This window comes from Homo sapiens, chromosome 2, assembly GCF_000001405.40.
Source record: "Homo sapiens chromosome 2, GRCh38.p14 Primary Assembly".
Classification (NCBI taxonomy): domain Eukaryota; kingdom Metazoa; phylum Chordata; class Mammalia; order Primates; family Hominidae; genus Homo; species Homo sapiens.
In genome coordinates, this window is record NC_000002.12 from 124205819 (window position 1) to 124230825 (window position 25007).

Genomic DNA, 25007 nt, shown 5'->3' on the forward strand with positions numbered 1-25007 from the left:
TTCTCAGCCTGCGTGTTTTGGTGTCTCTGGTAGATCCTGAAGATGTAGTCATATGTACATGATAATTTTTTAACTTCTTATCTAAGATCTCCAAAAAGGGCTCAAATGAAGTTTCCATTTGGAAGTTCTAAAAGTGGGCCTTTAGTCCCTACTCGGTGATTTAAAGTTTCGTTTGAGTATATTCTGATACACATCTTGCTTTGCAGAGTATATGTAGAAATCACTTGTATTTGTCCTAAACATTCTGAAATTGATCCCAAGATTGAGAACAGATGAATAGAATGGATCAACCAAGTGTTCTGGGCCCATTCTGCTGGATAGTAACTAAGTGATTAATGCCAATGGGCCTTGGGCAGAGCTAGTGCCAATCCCAGCACTGTGACCTTGAGCAAGTTACTTAAATGCACTGAGGCTCAGTTTCTTTATAAAACCAGGTCAATAACACCTAACCCTATGAGTTAATTTATGTGAATTGCCTGTCCCAGTGGCCTATTGTCTGGACTCAATAATTGGTATATGGTATTATAATGATGGTGATGACAGCAACAGTGCAGATATGGCTTACCTTGCAGGACATTTTGTGATGCAAAGGGAAACCCTTGTCAACATAATGCGTGTATGAATAACCCCTTATTTTCCTAACCTACCATCTCCTTTCCCTCAACCACAGTGTTGGGGCATGTTTGCCAAGCTCTCTTTGTGTGCTATCACAAGGGTTAGGTTGATTCTGGAGGTCTGAGTGGGCCAGTGGGGGCAGTTGCATGAAGTAGTAAGATGAGGGATAGCTAGAGAAGAGAGACCACCAGTGCTCCAGGCTCTTGATGATCTACATGTGGTTCATGGGCCAGCGGCATCAGAGGCACCTAGGAGCTTGAACCTAAATTATAATCTACATTTTTGTAAAGGTAATTCATGCTCACAATAAAGTTTGAGAAGCTCTGTCCCAGGGAGTACCCTAGAAAATCAAAAGCTGTTTCCTGGGTGAGTAATAGGGGACAGAAGCCTGATACATGCAGGAATTACAGGGAGATGACCAAGGTAGGAATTCCATCAGGGTCCAGTTGTTTTGAAGGCACAGGTTGCAGGCAGAAAAAAAGCACTATACAGCCCAAATATTAATAGATATGAAACATAAGCAAACAATTGATTTTTTTAACTTTTCACATATATTCTGTTCAACTCTGTATGGCAAATATGATGTTTAGTATCAAATGGTAGCCATTCACATTTTCTTAGTATGCTGAATTTATTCCCAAGTTAAAATTCCATTTAAAGAAACGAGAATCCCTTCCTAACACATGTTACAGACTTTAAAGAACTAGACTCTGTGACCCAGTTCATCAAAATGCACTTGAAAAATTCTGTCTGGAGCTCTCAGACCAATGCTACACATTAAAGATTTTATTTTCTTCCTCCTGTCTTTTCCAAGGCTTGACTCCTAACCACTTGAGATGGAGCTAAAGCTGACAGAGAAAGTGAAAATCCTCTGCCTTCTTGCCTGGAGGAAATGCTTGGCAGGAGATTTCCAAGCTGTGCTGTCATCAAAGCTAAACTTAACCTTGTTCAGGAAAAGAACCCTCAACTTTCAAACCAACTCCTTGTCAGACCATTCAATTTGCAAAGTACAATGTTGGGGGGATAGAAAAGGAAGGAAAAATAGCAATGAATGCACTGATGTTTGAGATTGAGACTTGAAATGATGACTACTCATGTTTTGCAATGACATTAAAGTTAAATGTCTTGGTTCACGGGCACTTACCACTCCCTTCATCACCATTAATCTTTGCTCACAGTTTTGAAATACACCACTTTGTGTCTTCAGCAATGAAACGAAATTTTCCCAGGGTTGTAATTGCTTTCCGGTATGTCTTTTCTCATGTTATTTGATTGCTAAAGGTTTTCTTCAAAATGGGAGATATTTAGTGAACACAATACAATGTATTTTCCTGCTATTTTTAATCTGTTCATGCATAATTTGAAGGGTTTGGTGAGGGAAAAATGGAAATTGAACTCATCTGACCGTGACAGATTTGCAAACTCTAAATACAACTTAAACTTTATCGATGCTTTTAAATTACAGCACTGAATACCTGGACATGTCCATATAACATTTATAGCATTTTATGTCTTCATAGCTACAGCCAACATTTGCTTAAGAATCACAATTGTAATTCAGGATGAGCAAGAAGAGCATTTTACAAGGAAAAGTAGAGCATGCTGAAGTATTTTGCCTGGAACAAGCTTTTATTTTTAGCCTGTCCCCAAAAAATCATTATCTAGAGGCCTGAAATGTCTCAAAAAATCATTATATTTGAATACCTGGTAGGTCATTTCATAGAGTCCTGAAGAATCCTATTTAATATCACGTGGGTTTGTTATCTGGACCACAGAGCAATTGAAGGAATGATTGTCTATTGGGACCTACTCTTTTCCTCTGACTTCTGACATGCAAACTTTCTCCAGTGTACAGTTTTAACAAATGGCACACCACACTTTGGTCCAGCATGTTATATCCAGGATTCTTATTGAGTTATTATGAAAGGTGGTATTTCCAAAATTCATATAAGGAACTCTCAATAATTTATACTTACCTCCATGTAATACATTCAGGTCTTCTTTCCAATGCCTTAGCTTGGATACATTTTGTGAGAGTAATAGCATGTGAAAGAATGTCAAAAACCAGAGGCCTGGGCTTGAGATTTAGCCCTGAGCTCTGCCCATGCCCTTCCCTTCCAGTGAGAAAATATCTTTCTAGAAGAGAATAAATATAGAAAGCAGAGACATCCATCATGGATCAAAGAGACTAGATGGTGACTGGGGACAAACCATGCCAGTTTATTGTCCATTCCTGACAAATAAATAGCTCTCATCCCCAAAATACAAAAATCCAGACCAAGAGGCCTAGTGATAAAATCGGGAGGGAGTGGTAGCTACTGAAAACTAAAAACATTCTCGTGTTACAACAATAGGATTTCAATTTATTCATGTTCTAAATATCATTTCCTTACTCAAAAATCTTTACAGAGGTTCACAGGATAGTTATAATTGCAAAGCTGTAGCTATCATTAATTAAGCATTTTCTTTGTACCAACCACTTTTGTCTTTGTTGGTGGTTCATGACAACCCTCATTTGTCATGACCTCCCCGTGGGAAACAGGCATCATCATCTTCATTTTCCATGGAGGAATACTATATCACAGAGAAAGAAATGGATGGCCCCAATTTACCAAATCAGTCAGCAGAACAACTGGATGCACAAGGTACTGAGACCCACCGCTGTGATGTTTCCATTCTATCTCACACATTCACTTCTGCCATAGCTTGCTCACTCATCAGACTTCAAGGCCCTACACAACCAGGCTCTCCTCCAAATTACTAGATATATCCCCAACTTGTTCGGAGTTTTGACTTCTTTACTTGCAAAATGAGAGGGTGTTGGAGGCTGGAACAAGTAAGTCAGAGAGAAGATGCGTTGCCTACCCAGTTAATACTCTTATGACCTTCATACCTGTGCCTCCTCATCTGTCAAATGGTCACCATCTTGGCTGTCCTTCCTGGCTGAGATGATTTTTGCAAAGCTCAAATAAAGAAAGCATTTAGAAATCACACTCATAGGACAAATGGTAATGACAAATCTCATCGATATTCTCTTTAAGTGCTCACAATCTTGAACGCACTTCCCTGTGTGACTTGGAAACATAAGTCACTTTACTGTTGCCCACACATTTTCCATTTTAGAGACCTGTCCAGTTTCTATTCCGATTTCTTAGTCTTCATTTAAGACTGTCCTCCCCTTATCTAAACCTCTACCTAACCAACAAGCAATTGAGCAATTCTCTGTGGTCATCACTGTGAAATGCAGTGAAAGTAGGAAAGTGAGTAAGATGGGGCCTCAAAGAGCTCAAGGACCTGTGTGCTACAACATCTTCAAAATAAACACCTGTCACCGAGCTGGTCCTCCTAGTGGAGGTGGAGTATTATACACAAAAGACCCCATAAAGGAGAAAAGGAATTTCTTGCCTGGAGAGATCAAGGAAGGCTATGGAGTATTTACATCCCGTGCAGTAAGTGCATTGTTGATGAGTGAGCAAGTGGAAGGTGATGTGCGGGCATTCAAGACAGAGTCAAATATAAACACAGCCAATAAATTGGCAAATCCAAGCACAGATTGAGAAATAAGCGGTGCCAGAAGATTAAATAATCCAGAGTTTGATCATGAAGGGATATATAGAAGCAAGGAACTAAAATTTTATTCTGAAGGCATGGGAGACTAGTGAACTCAGGTCAGTCATCTTTCTTATTTCCTGAATATGGAATTCATTGCTCACCTGTCTTTGGGTAATTAAAAACCATCACCTTATGACATATTATGACTTGCCATCTGAATATAAATATATGGTTTTTAGTCTTGTGACACTTTTTATTATATTTATCTAAAAGAAAGACGAGAAGCTTTAAATATGATTTGGAAGTCATCTAAATGTGGGACCATTTATCACCTCTTTTCTGCATGATATAAAGATATGTTAATTTTAGAAATTGATTTGTGAGCTTCCCAGTTCTTCAGGATAACAAAATAGATTGTCAATAGACCTAGAAATATTGAACTAATTATTTATTCTTACCTTCCTTTTTGTGCACCAGGTCATGATGATTCCAATATGGTATGTCTAAAGTTACATAACTCTGTCCATTCCAATTGTCATTGTTTTAGTTCAGGCTACCATTATTATATATATATTCTTTTACTATTCTAAATCCCCTGATTGGGTCTTGTTAGCACAGTCTCTTACCCTCAATTCTCTATCCCCATCTCCACCCAAGACATTTTTCCATATAGAAATTGAAGCAAACTTTCTAAAATACTAATTGCTGTGACTCTCTTGCCCAAAACAGTATTTCCTTGTTTTTATTTCATTTTGTTTTTAAACTATTTTGATTCCTACTGCCTGTATAAGTGCAGAATTTCCTTCTTTTTAAGTTTATAATCTTCAAAACATGAGCTTGGGAGGCCCTATTTTAACATATTCGCATTTTAAAAATAAATTATATATATGAACTTGAATGAAATTCAAACATTTTCTCCAGCCAGCTGTCCCAACCTGCCTCATCCCTTGAAAAGTTATATGAGGTCCATGCTTTCTGTTCCCTTTAAGAGTCACCAGGTTATGTATCAGATAGCATGATACATGATGCCTGGGACACTGTACTTAAAAAATATTTGTTGAATATAAGAAAAATGTGATAAAACCTAAAAAGTATACTATGTTTGGTCTTGGAGCATAAGTAATGCATAAACAACACAGCTCTTGGTACAGAATTATCCTACATATTCTGAACAGATGATAAAGAAAGTGCTAAAAACCGTGTGGATGGAAATATGTAGTAGATAGTCCTGGGAATATCATTTTTCAAGGACAGTAGTTGGAACTGGAGATGATCCACTTAGAAAGCAGTAGCAGATGAAGGTAACTTAAATTCATCTATTTATCTGCCTATCATCGATTTAGATATTTTACATGAATTGTCACTTTTTGTTCTCACAACAAGCCTGTGTATAGTTATCATCCCCATTACATGTAGAGAAAACTGAGATTAATTAACTTCCCAAAGGACACATAATTAGTAAGTTGCAGAGTCAGGATCTGAATTCAGACTGGTCTGGTCTCTTTGCAAATATACTACAGTCTCCAACACACACACAAACACACACACACACACACACATAAGCAACCACATTATGATCTTGTAGGACCACTCCTTCTGTCTCTGGGCTGCCATTATTTTCTCATCTACATACACCAGTAAAGGTCAATGTTTGTTCAAATTATCAGTACACGTTTAACCCATCCACTTCTAAATGTTTGGCATTGACCCCATTGGTTGTGCTATTAGCCAGCTGGCCAGTACTCAACTCAAGCCTATCTTTCTAATCAGGCATTTTCCTAAGTTCCAGTGAGCAGAATGAGAATACAGAGATGTTCGTTTTATTTTAGAATCATTATGCCTAGACCCATGCAAGATGAAAAAGGTTTATGAATGTGTATGGATTGATTGAGCTACACTTTAAGATCATGGTTTCCTGAGAAACGAGGATTTTCAGTGTAATTTAGAAACACTCAATGCAGGATCATGATTAGCTGTTGGAAGTTTAGCCCCATTGTATTCAAAAAAGAGTAGATATCTAGTGAGAAAGACAACGTTCTAGAAGAGAAACTCTCAATTCTGATAACTACTCAATGAACAGAAATACTGTCTTTACAAATTCTTTAGTTGCCTCCTTTCCCTCATTTTAATATTCAATGCATAATCATCTGGACAATGACCTTTTTAAAATATAAAGACATCATCTCTACTTTTAATTTTAAAAAAGTTCTACCTTCCATATTTTTTCTTTCTCCCAATCTTATCATTCAGTACCATCCAATTCATTCATTTATGTAGCTTTTCTTCAGAACCAATAAATTCTGAGCATAATTTGGCACTACTTTGTAATGATGTGTGTGTGTGTGCTGTGAGAAGTGTTAATAGATGGGGAGGAGGGAAAAGGGGTTTATAGAAGCAGAGTGAAATTTGTGGAAACTTTTCAAGTAGGAAACATTATATTTTTTCAAAGATTTGTGTTTTTTCTTATGAGTCTCCTATAAAACCCACCAAACTATTCCAGCCACCACTCTTAGCTTCTCCTATTCCAGAAACTTCTAATTTTTTTGGTTTATGAATTTTACCTGTTACACTCAATAATATAAAAGGTTGAATAGCTTTCTAATTAAGCTATGACACATTATTCATAACCTTAAAAGTTTAATAGCTTTACCGTATTTGATTTTAAACACTGTCAGAGTGATGCCTTTGGAGGCACAGTCCTCGACTTCTGATAAAGCCGATCCTAACAACAGGTCACTTACTCCTGAACTTGGTCTTACGTTTTGATTCTTTGACCAACTTTCAGTACCACCAATGATTTCCTTAACTTAGGCTTGGCTGGGACCTACCATGTGTAGATAAATCTTTTTTTTTTTTTTTTTTTTTTTTTTTGAGATGGAGTCTTGCTCTGTCACCCAGGCTAGCGTGCAATGGCGCTATCTCTGCTCACTGAAAGCTCCGCCTGCCGGATTCATGCCATTCTCCTGCCTCAGCCTCCCGAGTAGCTGGGACTACAGGCGCCTGGCACCACGCCCGGCTAATTTTTTGTATTTTTAGTAGAGACCGGGTTTCACCGTGTTAGCCAGGATGGTCTCGATCTCCCAACCTCGTGATCCGCCTGCCTTGGCCTCCCAAAGTGCTGGGATTACAGGCGGGAGCCACCGGGCCTGGCCTATGTGTAGATAATTCTGCTCTTTCATCCTCATGATGCCACCCCTGGAAGCCAAGCTCAAGGCTGGCATACCTTGTAAGTATTTTTGAAGGCAACATATTAAAAATGGGGTTTTTAAAAAGATGGCTTAATGGGACTAGAGCTGGGTACTACTTGGCTCTCTCAGTGAGAAAACTAATGGAAAAGACCATTGCAAAAATCATAACATAATATTTGGATAGTCAGAACTAGAATCAAATCGTGAGAAAGAGAAAATAAATAAGTGGAAAACTGAGAGATCATCCCAAGAGAAAACAACAATTCAACAGGATAGAACTTGTGTCTTTCATCCTTTCACTCAACAAAGAAGTATTGACTAATTTATGTAGTCTGAAATACTAAATACCAGGGCAAAAAAAGAAATCTGTCCAGCCTGACCCTTTATATTTGCACATCATTAGCTCATTATATTTGTCACATATGAGGGGCTCAGTTGTAAACAACATAGCTCTTGGTACAGAATTACCAACATTTGTTGCATTAGATTAAGTCACTGGTAAATTAGATTTAGAGCATGAAAGTGAAAAGAATAAAGCAAAACAGTCTGTTGTAAAAAAATATTTCTAACCTGAGAATCAAAACATAACAAAAAAAAATCAGTGGCAACATCAAAAATAACAAAAACACTGCTTTCCTCTCAGGTGTAATCTGAGAAGAAATCAATTTAGGGAAGGGTATTTCAGAGCTGTTGAGTTTGGGCTCATTGTGGGGCATCCGTGTACAGATGCTCTTGAAATTCAAGAAGGAAAGAGCTATATTCCTACAAAATTGTCAAATAGAGAGAGGTCTGCCGTCATATTAGAGTTTAGAAGCAGGTTTCAACTCAGGTTTTGTGCAGAGTCACTTTGACCTTGGTTCAAAGCCCAGTTTAGATATTGCAGAGACTCTGAAATGGACAAAAAATGTATAGAGTCCTCATCCATGGAATAAGGTGATGGTCTCCCCGTTGCAGCTGTTGCAGTGACTGTGAGCAACTCAGAAAGCTGCACCAGGAGGCTCCCAAGGAGTCAGGCCTGCTGCTGCTACCTTGTTATGCTTATGGGGTTTAGGATGATGTCCTCCCACCAAGCCACTTACAAGCAGGAAATTAGTAACTCCAAATAAAATATGTCCTAAAATCGTACATAGAATTGCTTTAAAAGCCTGGAAGGAATCCCAGAGCCCTCTTGTTAGCCCTGGACAGCACTAACCCCCTCTTCTGGGTGTTCCCGCAGTCTGCTCTGGCCCCATCACCAGTCACTATTGCAGTGCAGGGAGTGGTGCTGTGTTTATCTCCACCACGTTTGATGAATTTGCGATAATTACTTTTACTCTCTGCAAAGCCTGACAGAAATTTTGACACCTAGTATGTGCTCAATTAAATTGTGTTGATGAAACAAATGAACAATAACCCGTGCCGTTATAAAGTTGAGGAATCTGAAATACAGGGAAGTGAAAAAGAGAGCACATTACTAGTGCAGGCAGAAGGCTCAGGACTCCTGGATCCCAGACCAATGGTCTTTTGCATGTAATTGCTCATGAACATAAGGAGCTTATTTCAAAAAATGTATGGATTATCTTTCAGTCCAAAGTAAATGATTGCTTTCTTGAGCTCAGGGTCTATGTATTTGACTTTATTCTGTCTTCTCACAGCAAGAAGCACAACCATGAGTATTTAGCAGCTGATCAAAAAGCAAGTTCTGCATCAATCTGGAAATGAGTGTCAGGATAGAGAAGACTCGGCCTTCCTTTCACGACTGATTTTAGAAAGCTGTATTTTTGGTCTACTAATTATGAAGTAATGTATCTTTTAGGGTTTCATCGTGAAGAATGGGGGCAGGGTCAGATTCAAGAGTAATATTATAGTATTTATTTTTGTTATTTTCTAAGTGAAATTATAGGTAACAAGGGGAAAAATAATTGAAGCAAAAGGCATGAGTTGTCATGTCTAAGCACCGTTGTAGGCACTCCACAAAATGTATGTTTTATATCTTTTAGACAAAGTAGGCTATTAAGTGTGCAATGCTAAGAGGAATTTTATCTCACCTCTAAATACAAGTGAATCTTTTAAGCTCCAAATCCCCACATACAGACAATTTACCGTGGTAATCAAGACGATGCACACAATTGAACTTCAGTACCATCTGTAACTCTATTGGTATTTTAATAATAATGAATAAAAATATATGTTGGCAACAAAAAATGTTACTCGAAGTAGAATCATTTTAAAGAGTCAATGATAATTTCTCAATAGCTGTGTAGATATCATATTTACTTGGAATTCTCTGTTGTGCCTTTACCTTGTAATTAATATGAAAGAAGACCTTCAGTATTTAACTGTATACATATACTGAAGAACATATTATCCCCTCTTCTTTGAATTGGAAATATGAAACAAAATGCTTGTCCATGCAAATATTAATAAGGAAATGAATGTTTCTTTTATTTTTCTCTTCTTACCTTTTTTCTTTTGCCTTTTTTCTGTTTGTTTGACTTCTGCCCCCTGGGTGGGTAGGGTTTATCTAGGGGAGAGTATTGAAGATGAATAGAAGAAAGGCAAAAAAAAAAAAAAAAAAAAAGAAGAGAAATTCAAATTATCCTGAAAGTTATAAACTACTCTTCATCAATGTTTTTCTGTTGTCCAGGAAATAAAATAATGTCTTTCACTTCGCAGAAAAAAGATCATCCATTATAACAGTTGTTATAAATAATACTACTACTAATGGTTACCTGCCTTCTGCAAAGGTGCCAGAAAACTGGACTAGGGCCACCTACAAACAGTAAGGAAACCTGAATTTTGCTTCCAGCTGGTCAAATAATTAACTGAATAATCTTGGGCAGTCCTGTCATCTCCCTAAGCTCCCCCCAAACCCTTATATATAAAGTGAAAGGCTTGGAACCTGTAATTTCTGAAGTTCCTCCTGGTTCAGAAATCCTCTTAAATCTGTGAATGTAAAGCAAAGTTACGCAAACAGGACTGGGAGTATTTAAACAGCTACTGGATGGAAAGAGCTAAGGTGCTTTTGGTTATACCCACAGAAGTAGATTTTTATCTGGGGGGATGATGGGAGCTAGTGATGGCCTTTACATTATAAAGAAAAGGAGTACAGATGACAGCAAAGTTATTTGTTGAAGAAAAATGGGGAATCAAAAATATATATGAAAAAGGATTTGCATTTTAAAAATAGACTTTTATTGCATCAGAGTTTTTTTTTAAGTTTAAAAAATTCTTTTTTTTAAAATTATTATTATACTTTAAGTTTCAGGGTACATGTGCACAACGTGCGGGTTTGTTACATATGTATACATGTGCCATGTTGGTGTGCTGCACCCATTAACTCGTCATTTAGCATTAGGTATATCTCCTAATGCTATTCCTCCCACCTCCTCCCACCCCACAACAGTCCCCGGTGTGTGATATTCCCCTTCCTTTGTCCATGTGTTCTCATTGTTCAATTCCCACCTATGAGTGAGAACATGCGGTGTTTGGTTTTTTGTCCTTGCGATAATTTGCTGAGAATGATAGTTTCCAGCTTCATCCATGTCCCTACAAAGGACATGAACTCATCATTTTTTATGGCTGCATAGTATTCCATGGTGTATATGTGCCACATTTTCTTAATCCAGTCTATCATTGATGGACATTTGAGTTGGTTCCAAGTCTTTGTTATTGTGAATAGTGCCTCAATAAACATACGTGTGCATGTGTCTTTATAGCAGCATGATTTATAATCCTTTGGGTATATACCCAGTAATGGGATGGCTGGGTCAAATGGTATTTCTAGTTCTAGATCCCTGAGGAATCGCCACACCAACTTCCACAATGGTTAAACTAGTTTACGGTCCCACCAACAGTGTAAAAGTGTTCCTATCAGAGTTTTGCTATAACTCTTTTGGAGAAAAGACCCATGAAAAAGCTTTTAAAGATCTCATTTTGAAAATACTAGGCCAATGCATCTGTGAAATTTGGTTCATTCTTGGAAAGTGATTCCTGGGAAATCAATATAGTCTATCCCAAGTTGTGTGTCCCATTGGAAGTGAGTATGAGAGAAGCCTTTTAGTCTCTCATTATATTTTTTTTCTTAAAATTCAAATACCTATCTTCAGACCCCAGTTTCTTCACCCCTTCTTCTTTTCTACATTAAACACTAATGAATATTCACATACACTTTTGGAGGAACAGAGTGATGGATTCAGCATTGTTCAGACACACTGTTAGAAGTCTGAGATGCATGTGGAGCCTGAAATTGAAGGAGAGCACAGGTTTGCTTATTGAAGGCTGCAGGAGCACTGAGGGAGATAACATGTTCTTTCCTTGCTCCCCAGCCATGTGCTTGGGGTAGTACTGACCCAGTCTCCACAATGCTGCAGACCTGCAGAGGAGAGAATGAAGGCGCAATGTCATCTTTATGCAGGCTCGTGTCTTCACCCATTTTATTACCCCTCCACTTCACCTTATCCTGTTCATCTGGCCAGTTGTAAACCTTTAATGTGAATGAGCTATTTATGATACCAATTTGTGGGCAAGTTTTGTGGAAGAGAAAAAAGATCCCAGAAATAAAATCATTAAAATATTTGCTCTCAAATGTAGCAGATATTACTGGGCAATTCATATACTGCTTCCTATTCTCATTACGGGCTTTATACTTAAAAGGGGACATTTTCCCATCTATTCTTATTCCATCTTTAAAATGACTCTATGGCTGGATATGATGAAAATGACTATTTTGCAGACAGTGAAAATAAAACTTAGTATACCTGAATGTATTAGCTGGAATCATCCAATCAAGAGAAGAAACAAATCTAGGAAAAAGGAATCTCCAAGCTCTAACCCTCAATATGCTTTCCACTAATGCAGCCTATCACAAATCACAAAACAAAACAAACAAGTTTATTGTTCTCATTTATGCTAGATCATTCTTCCTTTGCTTTAAGAATCTGATACATATTTTAAAAAATATAGACATTTGAATTTAGAATGGTTCTATCATCAAACCCTTAACCTGTTTATGCTTGAGGTTGCAATTTTTTGAATTTTTGCAATCAGACCTTGGCGACAACCTTGAGCAGTAGGATATAGATAACTCCCACATGCTTAGCGTTCCAATAATGGAACATTAGGCAAAAATAGGCTTCCATTCCCGTTTACTAGGCTAATTTCATAAGAGACTTGCTCTCTCTTCAACGTAAGCGAGGTTGCCAAAGTGGTTCATGTGAGACAGAAGTGACAGAGGAAAAGATTTATCTGCTTTTGGGGGCAGGGAGTGATTTCTTCCTTTTAGATTTGAGATTTTTCCATTCTTATTACTTTTAGGGACAGGAGATCAAAAGTTCAGATATGTTTCCCAAAAAGCCACTGTTCAAATGCATAGGGTCTATGAGGAAAGGGCTGCTGAAAAATCTTCCTTGGATCTTTCCATTAGCATAAATCTATGGATTGACTAATTTCCAAAGTGGAACAACTGTCCCTGGAAACTGAGATACAAGGCAGACATCTTTCAGAGGAGAAAACGGACAGTAGGGAATGGCAGTTATTGCCACAAGTTAATGGGCTCTGGAAGCTTAGTTCTCCTGGAGGTCAGCACCTCATGATGGAGGGGATTGCACAGGTCTGGAAGAACAAAACTTATCACTTGCCTGAGAGTCTGGACTGATAGATACCAATTTTACTGGTTCGCTGTAATCATAGTGAAAGTCTCCTAAATTTCCTCATCAGTTTATTTATTTGTTTACATCTCTATATTTCTCAATGGCCTCGGAGCTCCTTGAGGTCTAGACTTTATTTTACCCAAAGCTATCCTGATTGCCTCTCTGAGAATATGCACAAAATGAGACTTTATAAATATTGGTTGGACTGAATTAATTTGAAATGATTAGGTTACTTCTACTATTCCATGATCATTTTAACAATTTATATATGAATGCGAAGATTACCAAAAAAGAAAAAGAAGAGAAAAATAAATTCCAGAGTTGTTTCTTGAGCAATGTATGGTTGAGTTGACTTGAAACATATACAGGGGTACAGTCAATTCTGCTACAACACAATATATGCATTTGTAAAAATGGCTTGCTAATTGTACAATAAAAATTTTATAAGAAAAGATTTAGGGGAGAAGTAGGGTTAGGAGTACAATACTCAAAAATTTCATCAGTCACACATAAGACTATAAAAACCTAATAAAATAGTAGCAGAGTTGTATACATGCTCAGTGTCTAATAAATACATAACTACTATATACAATAGCTATAATACTTTATGTTAAAAAGAGCTACAACTTTCCAGTGGAAGTGGGTGTCAGAAAAGCTGTGATTTCTTGTTAAGTAGTGGAGAGAGTGTTACCTGAAATAGGAGGATGGTTATATCTACACATCTGGATGGATGAGGCTTAGAAGGCTTCTGTGAATGTAGATACCGTATTGATGCTTAAGACCTATATATGTGTTTGTGTGTGTGTGGTTTGTATTTTTCTATGGGGCTCACTTTTTTTCCACATTCATCTGATGCTTCTTGATGACAAAACAGGCATACGTACATGCAAGATCTGCATTACGTTGAATATAATTTAATAAGTGATTATTATATGTTTTTTTCTAATATATAAATAATGCAACAAATATGTGACTTTAAACAAGTGCTTTGAGGTATGTATGCACCTTCTGTCACCTGTATCTTCTGCCAGAGGTAAAATGGTAGTGATCTGCTTTCTGTTCACCAAATGACCATAACTGCCGAGAAACCATATCTGCGATTTTTATGTTATTCTTCTTCAGTGAGGATCTGGCTCGGTTTTGTATTTGTCAAATACCTCAAAATATTTTTCAACATTTGTATTTGGGAAAAACTCAAAATACACTTTGCCAGTTGATTTTTTAATACACTTAATGAACAATAATTTAATCCTTGTGTTTCTAATTAATTTTCCTGCAGTTAGTTAAAATACTGCTAAGAATTTGCTGAATAAATAAGCTTAATACTATGTAAATGTTCTTTAAAAAAAAAAATAAATCAAACCAATTCTTCCTGAGAGCCTTTACTACCATGAAGTTTACCTTCAAACTAAACGGCACATTTTAAATTTGTTTTGAGTGAGGTATGTCTAGATTTCATGAAGTCATTGTTCAATGTCCTATGAAATTAAATGTGTACAAGACAAAAAATAGGAAAAGAATATTGGTAATAGTATACTGACTAATTGGCTGGTAGATTGACTGATCGATCCTGCCTCCCATTCTTTCCTTTCTTATTTCATTAGCTCACGATCCCATTCTTTCAACAAACCTTTATCAAAGGCTTGTTATGTACCAGATTCTCTGCTAGGGTCCCACAAAATGTGTGTCACCCAATGGAAAATACAAACAGATAAGTGAATTATTACAAAAAATTTAGATGACCAATTGTCTTAGACCATTTTGTATTGCTATAACAGAATGCCTGAGACTGAGCAATTTATAAGGAACAGAAATTTATTGGTTTACAGTTCTAAAGGCTGGGAAGTTGAATATCAAGGTTCTGGTATCTGGTGAGAGCTCTCTTGTTGCATCATCATATGGCAGAAGACGAGAATGAGAGAGAGAACCCACTCCTGAAAGCTTTTTTATTAAAGCTGTAAACCTAAGCCAGTGAGGGTGGAGCCCTCACAGCCTAATCATCTCTGAAAGGCCCCAACACTTAATATTGTTACAATGACATTAGATCTCATCATGAGTTTGGGAAATGACAAAAATTCCAACCATGGCAACAATATACTAAGAGTGAAGAGCAGTTCCTTTCCATGAGATTGGATGGTCAGGATATCAGTGTCAACCCGGAGGGGTATATCTACCTTCTCAAGACAAGCATCTTTGCTCATGGCCCCACCCTGTCCCACATTTGGGCCTCATCAAAGAATCCTTAGAAAGAATACTTTCCACATTTAGGATAGGTTGGAAGGATAGCTGTTGAAGTAAATACCAGATTCAGAATATACAAGATCTAGGACTATTCACTACTGCTTCACGGAATAGAAATAAGTTCTCAGAATAAGTAAATTGTTTTCTGAAGACTTTCACACAACTGGGAATAAGATATTTTAAGTTATCCTACTCCTCTAGACACAATTATTACGGGAGCTCTTAGGAACTGAAGATGGGAGAGTAGTCAAACAATGTTTCCCCCTTTTAATCATCTCGCTTCTTATAGAATAATCTTGATGGCAATAATTTGAGGGTTTGCTCAAGTGGCTTATTGAAGAAATGTAGCTAGTTGGGTTTTTGAGTCAGACAAATCTAGGTGACAATTCTGGCTGCGCTATTTTCTAGCATTGAGACCTTGGACAATCTGCTTGACATTTTTGAACTTAATTTTCCTCATCTGTGAAAGAAAGCTGGACCTGTCCTTCAGGGGTGCTGTGAGGAGTAGATGCAGTAACACATGGAAACCGGGAGTACCTGACCTTGTTCAGAGCAGGTGGTTAATAAATGATGGTAGTTAATTTCTCAACTTCTCTTCTTATGGAATGTTTCTTGCTAATAGAATCTGGTCTCTCTCCCTCTGTCCTCCTATCATTATAGACAACTGTGATGATCCACTAGCATCCCTGCTCTCTCCAATGGCTTTTTCCAGTTCCTCAGACCTCACTGGCACTCACAGCCCAGCTCAACTCAACTGGAGAGTTGGTAAGTAGGCTGACTGAAATCCTAATGCCAAGCACTAAATAATTACGTGGTGGGTAGGTGAAGGAGAGTGAGCACTCTCAGACACTGAAATCATGTCCAATGGCCGTCTTCAGGAAAATATTTACGAGGAGAGGAGTGAAAATCTAATGTAAGCATACTTCCATAGCATAATAGTCATTCAAAGTATGCTGACTTGTGTTCACCCAAATCACAGTATCCTTTTTTGATTATCACGAGAGGTCTTTGTGAAAATTACTTTATAAAAAGCACTTGCTTTATTTTTATATTTCCATAGCTAACATAAATAGATATAAAACATGTTTTATAATAAAATATTTATAATGAATGTTTATTAAATTTTCTTTCAATAAGTTTAATTTTACTTGAAAATTAATATTGCTGATTTTTAAAATACAAAAATACTATTAATTGAAAGTAAGAAAATATAAATAATCTGTTATTCTACCAGCTAGAAATAACTGTAGTTAAGTATATGGTGTTTATCTTTAACATCTGTGTGAAGTAAGAGCACCTCCTTAACTAATCTCTCATATGAAATGTTGTTAACAAATATGATGTTGGATATCTAGGCAGATACGTTTTAGTCAGATTTGGATGTTGACTTTTCTAATGCATAGATACATAGGTAGATAAATACTGCAAAAGAGATTTGAATTATTTCAATTTTTAAGGACTTTTAGGTATCTGATAGTATCTTAATATCTACTAAATATTATAAACTTTTCCTAGGTCAAGAAAAGCGTGTATGCAATTTAAAGAGAGCTACGGGTCTATTAGAGTTTATATTATTTAATTTTGAGTATATTTTCCATTGATATCTTAAGTAGGTTACATTAGCAGGTTTTTGCAATATTGAACCATCTTTGCATTCTGGAATAAGTTCTAATTGGTCGTTGTGTTTTTTTTTTTTTTACACGCTAACTAATTTAATTTGTTAACACTTGAATTTATAATTTTAATCTCCATTATTAGTGAGATTGATTTATAGTTTTTGCTTGTATGTTTGTTTCCTGTTTGTCTTGTACTTCATTTCACCAGTTTTCTATTAAAATGGGATTCATAATTTAAAAGTTAGCAAGTGTCACTGGTTTGTTGAGAAAGCTGTTTAAGAATAATATTCTAAAAACAAAAGAATGGCCAAAGATTCAACAGGAAAATTTCAATTAAAATTTTGTACTAATGTCCTTTGCTGAATATTCTGTGCCAAAAATTTGATTAAGCATTTTAGTTTTATTATGATATTTAGTCCTCACAAAGTTGTTGCAAACATTATTACCTTTTACCTTCAGGTAGGGTTCCTGAGGCATCAGTTTCCCAAGACAGAAAAACTAGTCTGGGGAAATGCTTGCATTCAAACCTAGGTTATCTGAATTCAAAGTTCGTGTTTATATTCATCCCGTTAACAAATCGCTTCACTAGTACAGATTGAAAAGGGGTGTAGCAGCAAGAAAATAAAAACTAATCAATCAACCACAGTTCAAATGCGAGCTATGCCACTTAAAAACTCTCTGACTGTGCACAAGTCACTTACCTCTGCCAACCTCAGTTTTTTATCTGTAAAGTGGCCCAGGAATGTCTGCCTTGCAACATTATGTGCAGATTAAGATCAGACTTGCATATCCAAAATATCTTTCTTACAGCAGGGTAGAGAACTGAACTGGAGCAGGAAGCCCACTTTCCATTTCAGGAAGAAACACAGGTTGGCAGAATTTAACACGGTTTCCAACAGAGCTTCCAGAGAAAGGAGTTGTCTCGATCCCACCCAAATTGTGCAGCAGCAGAAAGCAATTACTACTGCCTAATAGCTCCTGAGCAGTTTCTGGGGGAAGCTGTGGGTCTGATCACAGGCCGGCTCTCTCCCTGACAGACAGATATTGAGTGAGGACAAGTGTCTTTGCTCCAACTTATTATAATTTTTCGGCTCACCGGGGAATTTGAGTGCCTGAATCCAAGGCTAGCATAAATGTACAGAGAGGTTCACTTTTCTTCCGTTTCCCAACAAGAGTCTAAATCAGAAAGGCCAAGCAGAAGACATAGTGATACAGTTGGGATGCACTGACCTAGAACTCATCCTCTAGTGCATATTCCAAGACTCCCAAGGGGGACAGCCTCTCCTTTACTCACCGAGGCCCAACCACGGCCCTCAGTGGGAATTAAACACTGGCTCAGGGAGATACGGTATCAGTGGTTCTCATCCCAGGGCTGTGCATTTGAATCACCTGGAGAGCTTTGCAAGGAGCATTGCCTGAGCCCATTTTTCCTATGTTCTGAATTAATTGTCTTGGATGGGACCCAAGCAAGGATATTGATAAAGTGAAGAAACAAAAGCTTCCAGGTCATTCTAAAATGGAACAAGAGTTGCAAATTGCTACATTGGAGGAATTCATGAGTAAAAAATCCTTCTATTAATAATTATTGAGTCCCAGTATTTGTCAGGCATTGTTCTAGATCCTTGACACACAGTTGGCACAAATAGGCACAAACAGTATTCATAAAGAGCTGACATGGATAATACCATTACCATACAATTACAAACTGTGATACTGATCAACAGCTAACATTTGTCATTAGTAATAATATCAACATAATTATTTTGTTAAGTATGTCCAGATATGTATTTCTACTATAATAAACCATGTATATGTGATATATATGTGTATATAATATATAGAGTAAAATGTATATATATATACACACACATATGTAGTTGAATATATACAGTCAGAGTCTGTCATATACAAAGAGGTGGATATATACAGGTTTGGTTATATAAATATATTCATACATAGTAGGATGAATATATATGTTTATATAGTTGGACATAGTAACATATACATGCATATACAGTCATGTACAAATATATACATATGTGGTATACAGATATATTAAGATAAAACTTGAAAGTCATTATATTAATGCTATTAAGAACAGATTTTGTTTCATGAGTGGAAAAATATAACATTTAGAAAGTTAAGAAGAAAACTTATAATTTTTGTTTATATTGGAAGTATCAGTATAAAATACTGATTTATTTGCTTCCTTTTAAGACCAAACTTATGTCCTGTCTATGCACTGACATGGCTTAGAAGCAATTATAACACTGTCTCAATGAACACTCCTTTTTAATGTGTCTTCCTTTAAAACTTATCTTTTGTTTTACAAAGAAAAAACATGCAATATATCCAAAAGAGCAAATTGTACCACATGGTTTGAAATCTCAGATGCTCTCGAATATACATGCAGATGTAAAGGAGCATCTCTCCGGATGGTGAGATTGTGTGCCTAAGAATTACACCCTCCCTCTTCCCCTGGTTGTAAGCTGATGCCTGGCAGCGCACAACTAAAAATTATAACACCACTATATTGAGAACTTCCCATGAGCCCTCAATGTTCTGAGCCCTTAAGGTACACCAATTCTATACTCACAACTACCCTTTATGTAGATGTCATTGTGATCTCTGATTCATAGGTGACACAGAGAGGAAAGCAATGGCCATGCCCGGCTTTCACCCAAGTGATCTGAATCTGTGTAGTGCTATTGGCCAAAGCACCACAACACTATCCTGCCCAGAGAGCCAGAATAACTTCAGTGTTTTAGACAGGGAAAGCTGTGTGTCATTTTTATTAGTTCACTTACTTCCCTCCCTCTTATGTGATTGAAGTATAATTGACAAATAAAACTGTATACATTTACAGTGTATGAAATGATGATTTGATAGGTATGCATTTTGAAATAATTACCACAATCAAATTAGCTAACACATCCATCACCTCATGTAGTTATCCTTTTCTTTGTTTTGTAGTGAGAACACAAGACCTACTCTCAGCAAAAGTCAAGCATACAATAGAGTATTATTAACTATAGTCACCATGCTGTACAATTATATTCAGAGAATGTATTCATATTAGAAGTGCAAGTTTGTACCTTGATCAACATCTCTCCATTTTCTTCACACCCCAGTCCCTCGCAACCACTGTTCCACTCTCTGCTTCTCTGAGTTCAACATTTTTCAGATTCCTCATATAAGTGAGATAATGCAGTATTTGTCTTTCTGTGCCTGGATATTTCACTTAGTACAATGCCCACTAGGCTCATCTATGATGTTGCAAGTGGCAGGTTTTCTTTTTTATGGATGAATAATATTCCATTGTATAAATGCCACAATTTTTTATCCCTTTATTGATCAAGAAACACTTAGGTCGCTTCCGTATCTTGGCTGCTATGACTAATGCTGCAATGAACATTGGATTGCAGATATCTCTTTCAGATACTGATTTCATTTCCTTCAGATATATACAAAGTAGTTGTATTACTGGATTTTATGGTAGTTTCTTTTTTTTTTTTAGAAACCTCCATACCGTTTCTTATAACTATGCTAATTTACATTCCCAACAACAGTGTAAAAGAGTTCTGTTTTCTCCACCTCCTCACCAACACCTATCTCCTTCTTTATAAAGAGCCATCCTAACGGGTGTGAGGTGACGTCTCATTGTGGTTTTGATTTCTATTTTCCTGATGATTAGCAGTGTTGAGCATCTTTCTGTGTGCCTGTTGGCCATTTGTATGCCTTGTTTGGAAAAACGTCAATTTAGTCTTTTGCTCATTTTTAAATTGGGTTATTTGTTTTTTTGCTACTGAGTTGTACTTGTTCTTTAAATGTTTGGGTATTAACCCCTTATGAGATATTCGGCTTGCAAATATTTTCTCCAATTTGATAGTTTGCCTTTTAATTTTTTTAATTCTTTTTCTTTTTTGTACAGAAGGTTTTTAGTTTGATATAGTCCCACTTGCTCATTTTTGTCTTTGTTGTCTGTGCTTTAGATATCTTAGCCCATTTCAGTTTCTTATACAAGAATAGCTAAAACTGGGTAATTTACAAAGAAAAGAAATTTATTTCTTACAGTGATAGAAGTTGAGAAGTCCAAGGTCAAGGGGGGCAGATTTGGTCAGGGTCCTCTTGCTTATGGGGACTCTGCAGAGTCTCGAGACAGCCCAGGGCATCACATAGCAAGGTGCCTGAGTGCTCTAACATGGTAGCTCAGGTCCCTCTCCTTCATCTTATAAAGCCACCAGTCCCATTCCCATGACAACCCATCAATCCATTAAACCATTAATCCATTAATTAGTAAATGGATTAATCTATTCATGAGGTCAGAATACTCATGAGCTAATCAATCATCTGTTACGGGCTGCACCTCTCAATACTGCCACATTGGGGATTAAGTTTCCACATGAGTTTCACAGGACAAACGTTCAAGTTATAGCAGTGTCATATCCAAAAAAGTATCATTTACTTTGGAAAGCAATGAGCAATCACTCTGAGTGTGCTGGGCATTTCTCCACTCTGCCTTGTTCAATACACTGAGCCATATTTTATAATATTCTGCCTCAACACTTCAACTTCCAGCATGTTCTCCTCCCTAACAGATTTGCTAATAAATGCAGTCACAATGGTCTGCTTTATATAGCCTCATTCTATTCTCTCTTCCAAGAGGGTATGGTGAACCTGCCTCCTTCAGATCTACTACTCAACACCAAATCCCTGCCCCTTCTAAATGTCCAAACACCAGATTTTACACACACACTCCCTCTCTCCCTCACATACACACTCACAAACACAAACATGTGTTCGGAAAAAGAGTAGGTACTAAGATACACATGCATTATTTTAATTCCCAGGGAATAGTTTAAAATAAGTAAGTAATAAATACTTGTCAAAGTATAATTTTCAATAAGTTAAAAACATAGCTCTCATGCAAATATAAACTCATAGGTCTTATACAAATATAAACTCAGCACATCGTGTGTATGTGTGTGTGTGTGTGTGTGTGTGTGTGTGTGTGTGTGTATTAAACTTATTAAGGCAGGAACCAGTAAAATGGTAAAGCTAATTCAAAGAGTATTTTTTGGGAACTGTGTATTCAGAGACATTTGGTGAGGGTGGGGGGAGGCGGAAGAAAATAATATTGGAATAAAATTGCTAGGTAGATACAAAATTAGTTAATGTATGTATTAGTCAAGATTCTCCAGAGAAACAGAACCAACGGGATATATATATACACATACACATACACACACACGCACACACAAATACATATATACACGCACACACACACATATACACATATATATGAAATCATTTATTATGAAAATGGGCTCACATGATTATGGAGGCCAAGAAGTCCCAGGATATGCTGTCTGTAAGCTGGAGAAGAGGGAGGCTGGTGGTGTAATTCAGTCTGAGTCCAAAGATCTGAGAACTGGGGGAACCAGTGGTGTGACCCTCCATCTGAGGCCCAAGGTCTGAGAAATTAACGAACCACTGGTATCAGTCCCAGAGCCCAAGGACCCAAGAACCTGGAATTCTGATGTCCAGGAAGAAAAGAAGATGAATATTCCAGCCCCAGGAGAGAGAGAGAAAATTCAGCTTTCCTCTGCCTTTTTGTTCTATCTGGTCCCTCAATGGATTGGATGGTGCCTGCTCACATTGGTGAGGGTGAATATTTCTACTGATTCAAATGCCAATATTTTCCATAAACACCCTCACAGATATAACCAAAAATAACACTTTACCAGCTGCCTGGATATCCCTTAACCCAGTCAACTTGACACCTAATAGAAACCATCACAATGTCTTACAGGGTTATAAAACTTGGGGGTTATACCTTCTCTATTGGACACACATTTATAAGTTAGCATGTGACAACTTCACAGTATCTAAGCTCTGATCACCCAGGAACTAGCCAAACCAAATGACATGTGCATTTTTCTGGAAAATTAAATAATTGTTAAATGGATTTGCTTCAAATTGTTCCAGGAGGATACTGAAAGATCATACTATATTTTCTTATGATTTCAAAGCTTTAGATAGTGTTTTCTTAACACATTTATTCATTGGTTCATTTATTACAGTAATTAGTGAATTTCTTCTACTCTACACCATTCAGCCTTCCAACACTCTTGTCAAGGAACATCCTGGTATCCCACTGGGTATCCCACTCAAGATGAAATTTAAATTGTAAAACCCATGACCTTCAGAGCATCAAATCCCCCTCAAAAGGATAGAATGTCCTCAATAATATCCTTGTACCTCATCACTGCTGAACTATTTCACACTGATGAGCTCCCCTGCAAGTTTTTGGGCATCACTGAAAATTGCTGAGTCCCTTGATGATTATATAAAACCTTGGCAAACATTGAACATAAAGGACTAGGGAACACTTTACCCCTACGTGTGCTCAGAACTCAGGTAGACTCATGTCTGCCCTATACCCAGGAAGAAAGTGTGCGTAACTGATCAGTTTGCCATAGCAGAAAAGACCAACTCAAACATTGAAATAAAGACTAAAGGAAAAATGTGCTGGGCAAATGTTAACCTATGAGCTCCCCCAACCCTAGGTAAACCAAGTTTAATGAGTTCCATCAATAACAAACTAATTTTTCTGAGAGAAAACACACACTTGGAAACAGCTGTTGGGCTGTAGGTATTGCTGTGCCCATCAAGGTCTGGGCAATCCGGCACACGAGGAGGGGATTAATAGTTAAAGCTCAACTATAATAGTCTCCATGCTGCTATCTCATCGATAGAAGGGATTTGCCAAATAGAATTTTTGTTCTCTCACTTCCACAAACACTTCAGCCTTCATCTCATCACACACAAAAAAAATGAAAAGCAAGGAAGAGAACTAATTACTTTTGGAAAAAAGAAAAAACAAACACAACAAAATACATTAAATTGGAGGTCAGATCACCATTAACTTAGGTTGCCAACTCAATCTATATAATTGTGGCTTAGGACGGATCAGTCTTTGTCAAATATGATTTGTTTTGTGGCAAGAAAGCTTTTGATCTCGGCATTAGAGTCAGCTGGGCTTCAGAGAAAGACTTACTGTCCGCAGGAAGTGCAGGGGTTGGTGGTATATAGCATGAAGCCACGGAGTTGTGGGTTAGGCCTTCTTGAAAATGAAGGGGAAGGATTTAAGTTACTTTAGATGATTAAAAGGAAAATAGAAATAGACATCTTTGGCCCCATGAGAGGAGAGGTTTGTATTTTTCTATTGCATGTTTTTTTTTTCCAAATAGAGTTTGGAAACCATTATGTTTATCATTTGTTCCTTGAAATTTTAATCCGTCTTCCTCACTCAATGTATTTTTTGAGATGCTTGCCTGTGTAAGTTGAGATTGTGTGTTTCTAGCATGACAGTTTTGTTGCCATGGAGAATTTGATTTCTTATGTCAAGGCATTTTCAGCTCCCTGGGCTCATGGATGGATAAAAAGATTTAAAATCCTTACCTCCCGCTTTGGCACAGATTCCATGCACACTTACCACCCCCCATACCACTTCCTTGGGCAGTACTTGTTACAAATTGCTAAGGACCCTAAAGGTGTTCTGAAGTTGGTTTTCATCTTGATGTCATCAGGCCATCCATGAGGAGATGAGGGTTGGAAGCAAGCAAAAATCAGGGTTCATTTGCACAATTAGCATTTCAGCTGTCTAGGGACTTTTTCCAGATTACAAGGGAAAATCCTGGGAACCCAATTTCATAAACAACACTACAACGTCTGCTCTCTGGAGGCAACATGAGTCTTCTCTCTGGATTTATTAAGCCCCATAGAATATATATCTAATCTACTCTGTTTTATTTTTTATTTATTTCTTTTGTGTGTGTGTGTGTGTGTGTATATATATATATATAAATTATTATTTTTTTTTTCTTGAGACAGAGTCTCACTCTGTCACCCAGGCTGGGGTGCTGTGGCATGATCTCGGCTCACTGCAACCTCTGCCTCCCAGGTTCAAGCAATTCTCCTGTCTCAGCCTCCTGAGTAGCTGGGACTACAGGTGCATGCCACTGTGCCCAGCTAATTTTCATATTTTTAGTAGAGACAGGGTTTCACCATATTGGTCAGACTGGTGTTGAACTCCTGACCTTAGGTGATCCACCTGCCCTGGCCTCCCAAAGTGCTGATATTACAGGCGTGAGCCACTGCGC

At 37.4% G+C, this 25007-nt stretch overlaps 1 protein-coding gene across 3 annotated transcripts in view; it reads left to right on the forward strand.

The window, feature by feature from the left end:
* CNTNAP5 (contactin associated protein family member 5) overlaps positions 1 to 25007 on the forward strand; it is an 895933-nt gene that overhangs the window by 180532 nt on the left and 690394 nt on the right. For all 3 annotated transcript variants that reach the window (NM_001367498.1, XM_017003316.2, NM_130773.4), the window contains exon 2: positions 15887 to 15991. In NM_001367498.1, the coding sequence (NP_001354427.1) occupies positions 15887 to 15991 (105 nt within the window). The remainder of the gene's footprint in view (positions 1 to 15886; positions 15992 to 25007) is intronic.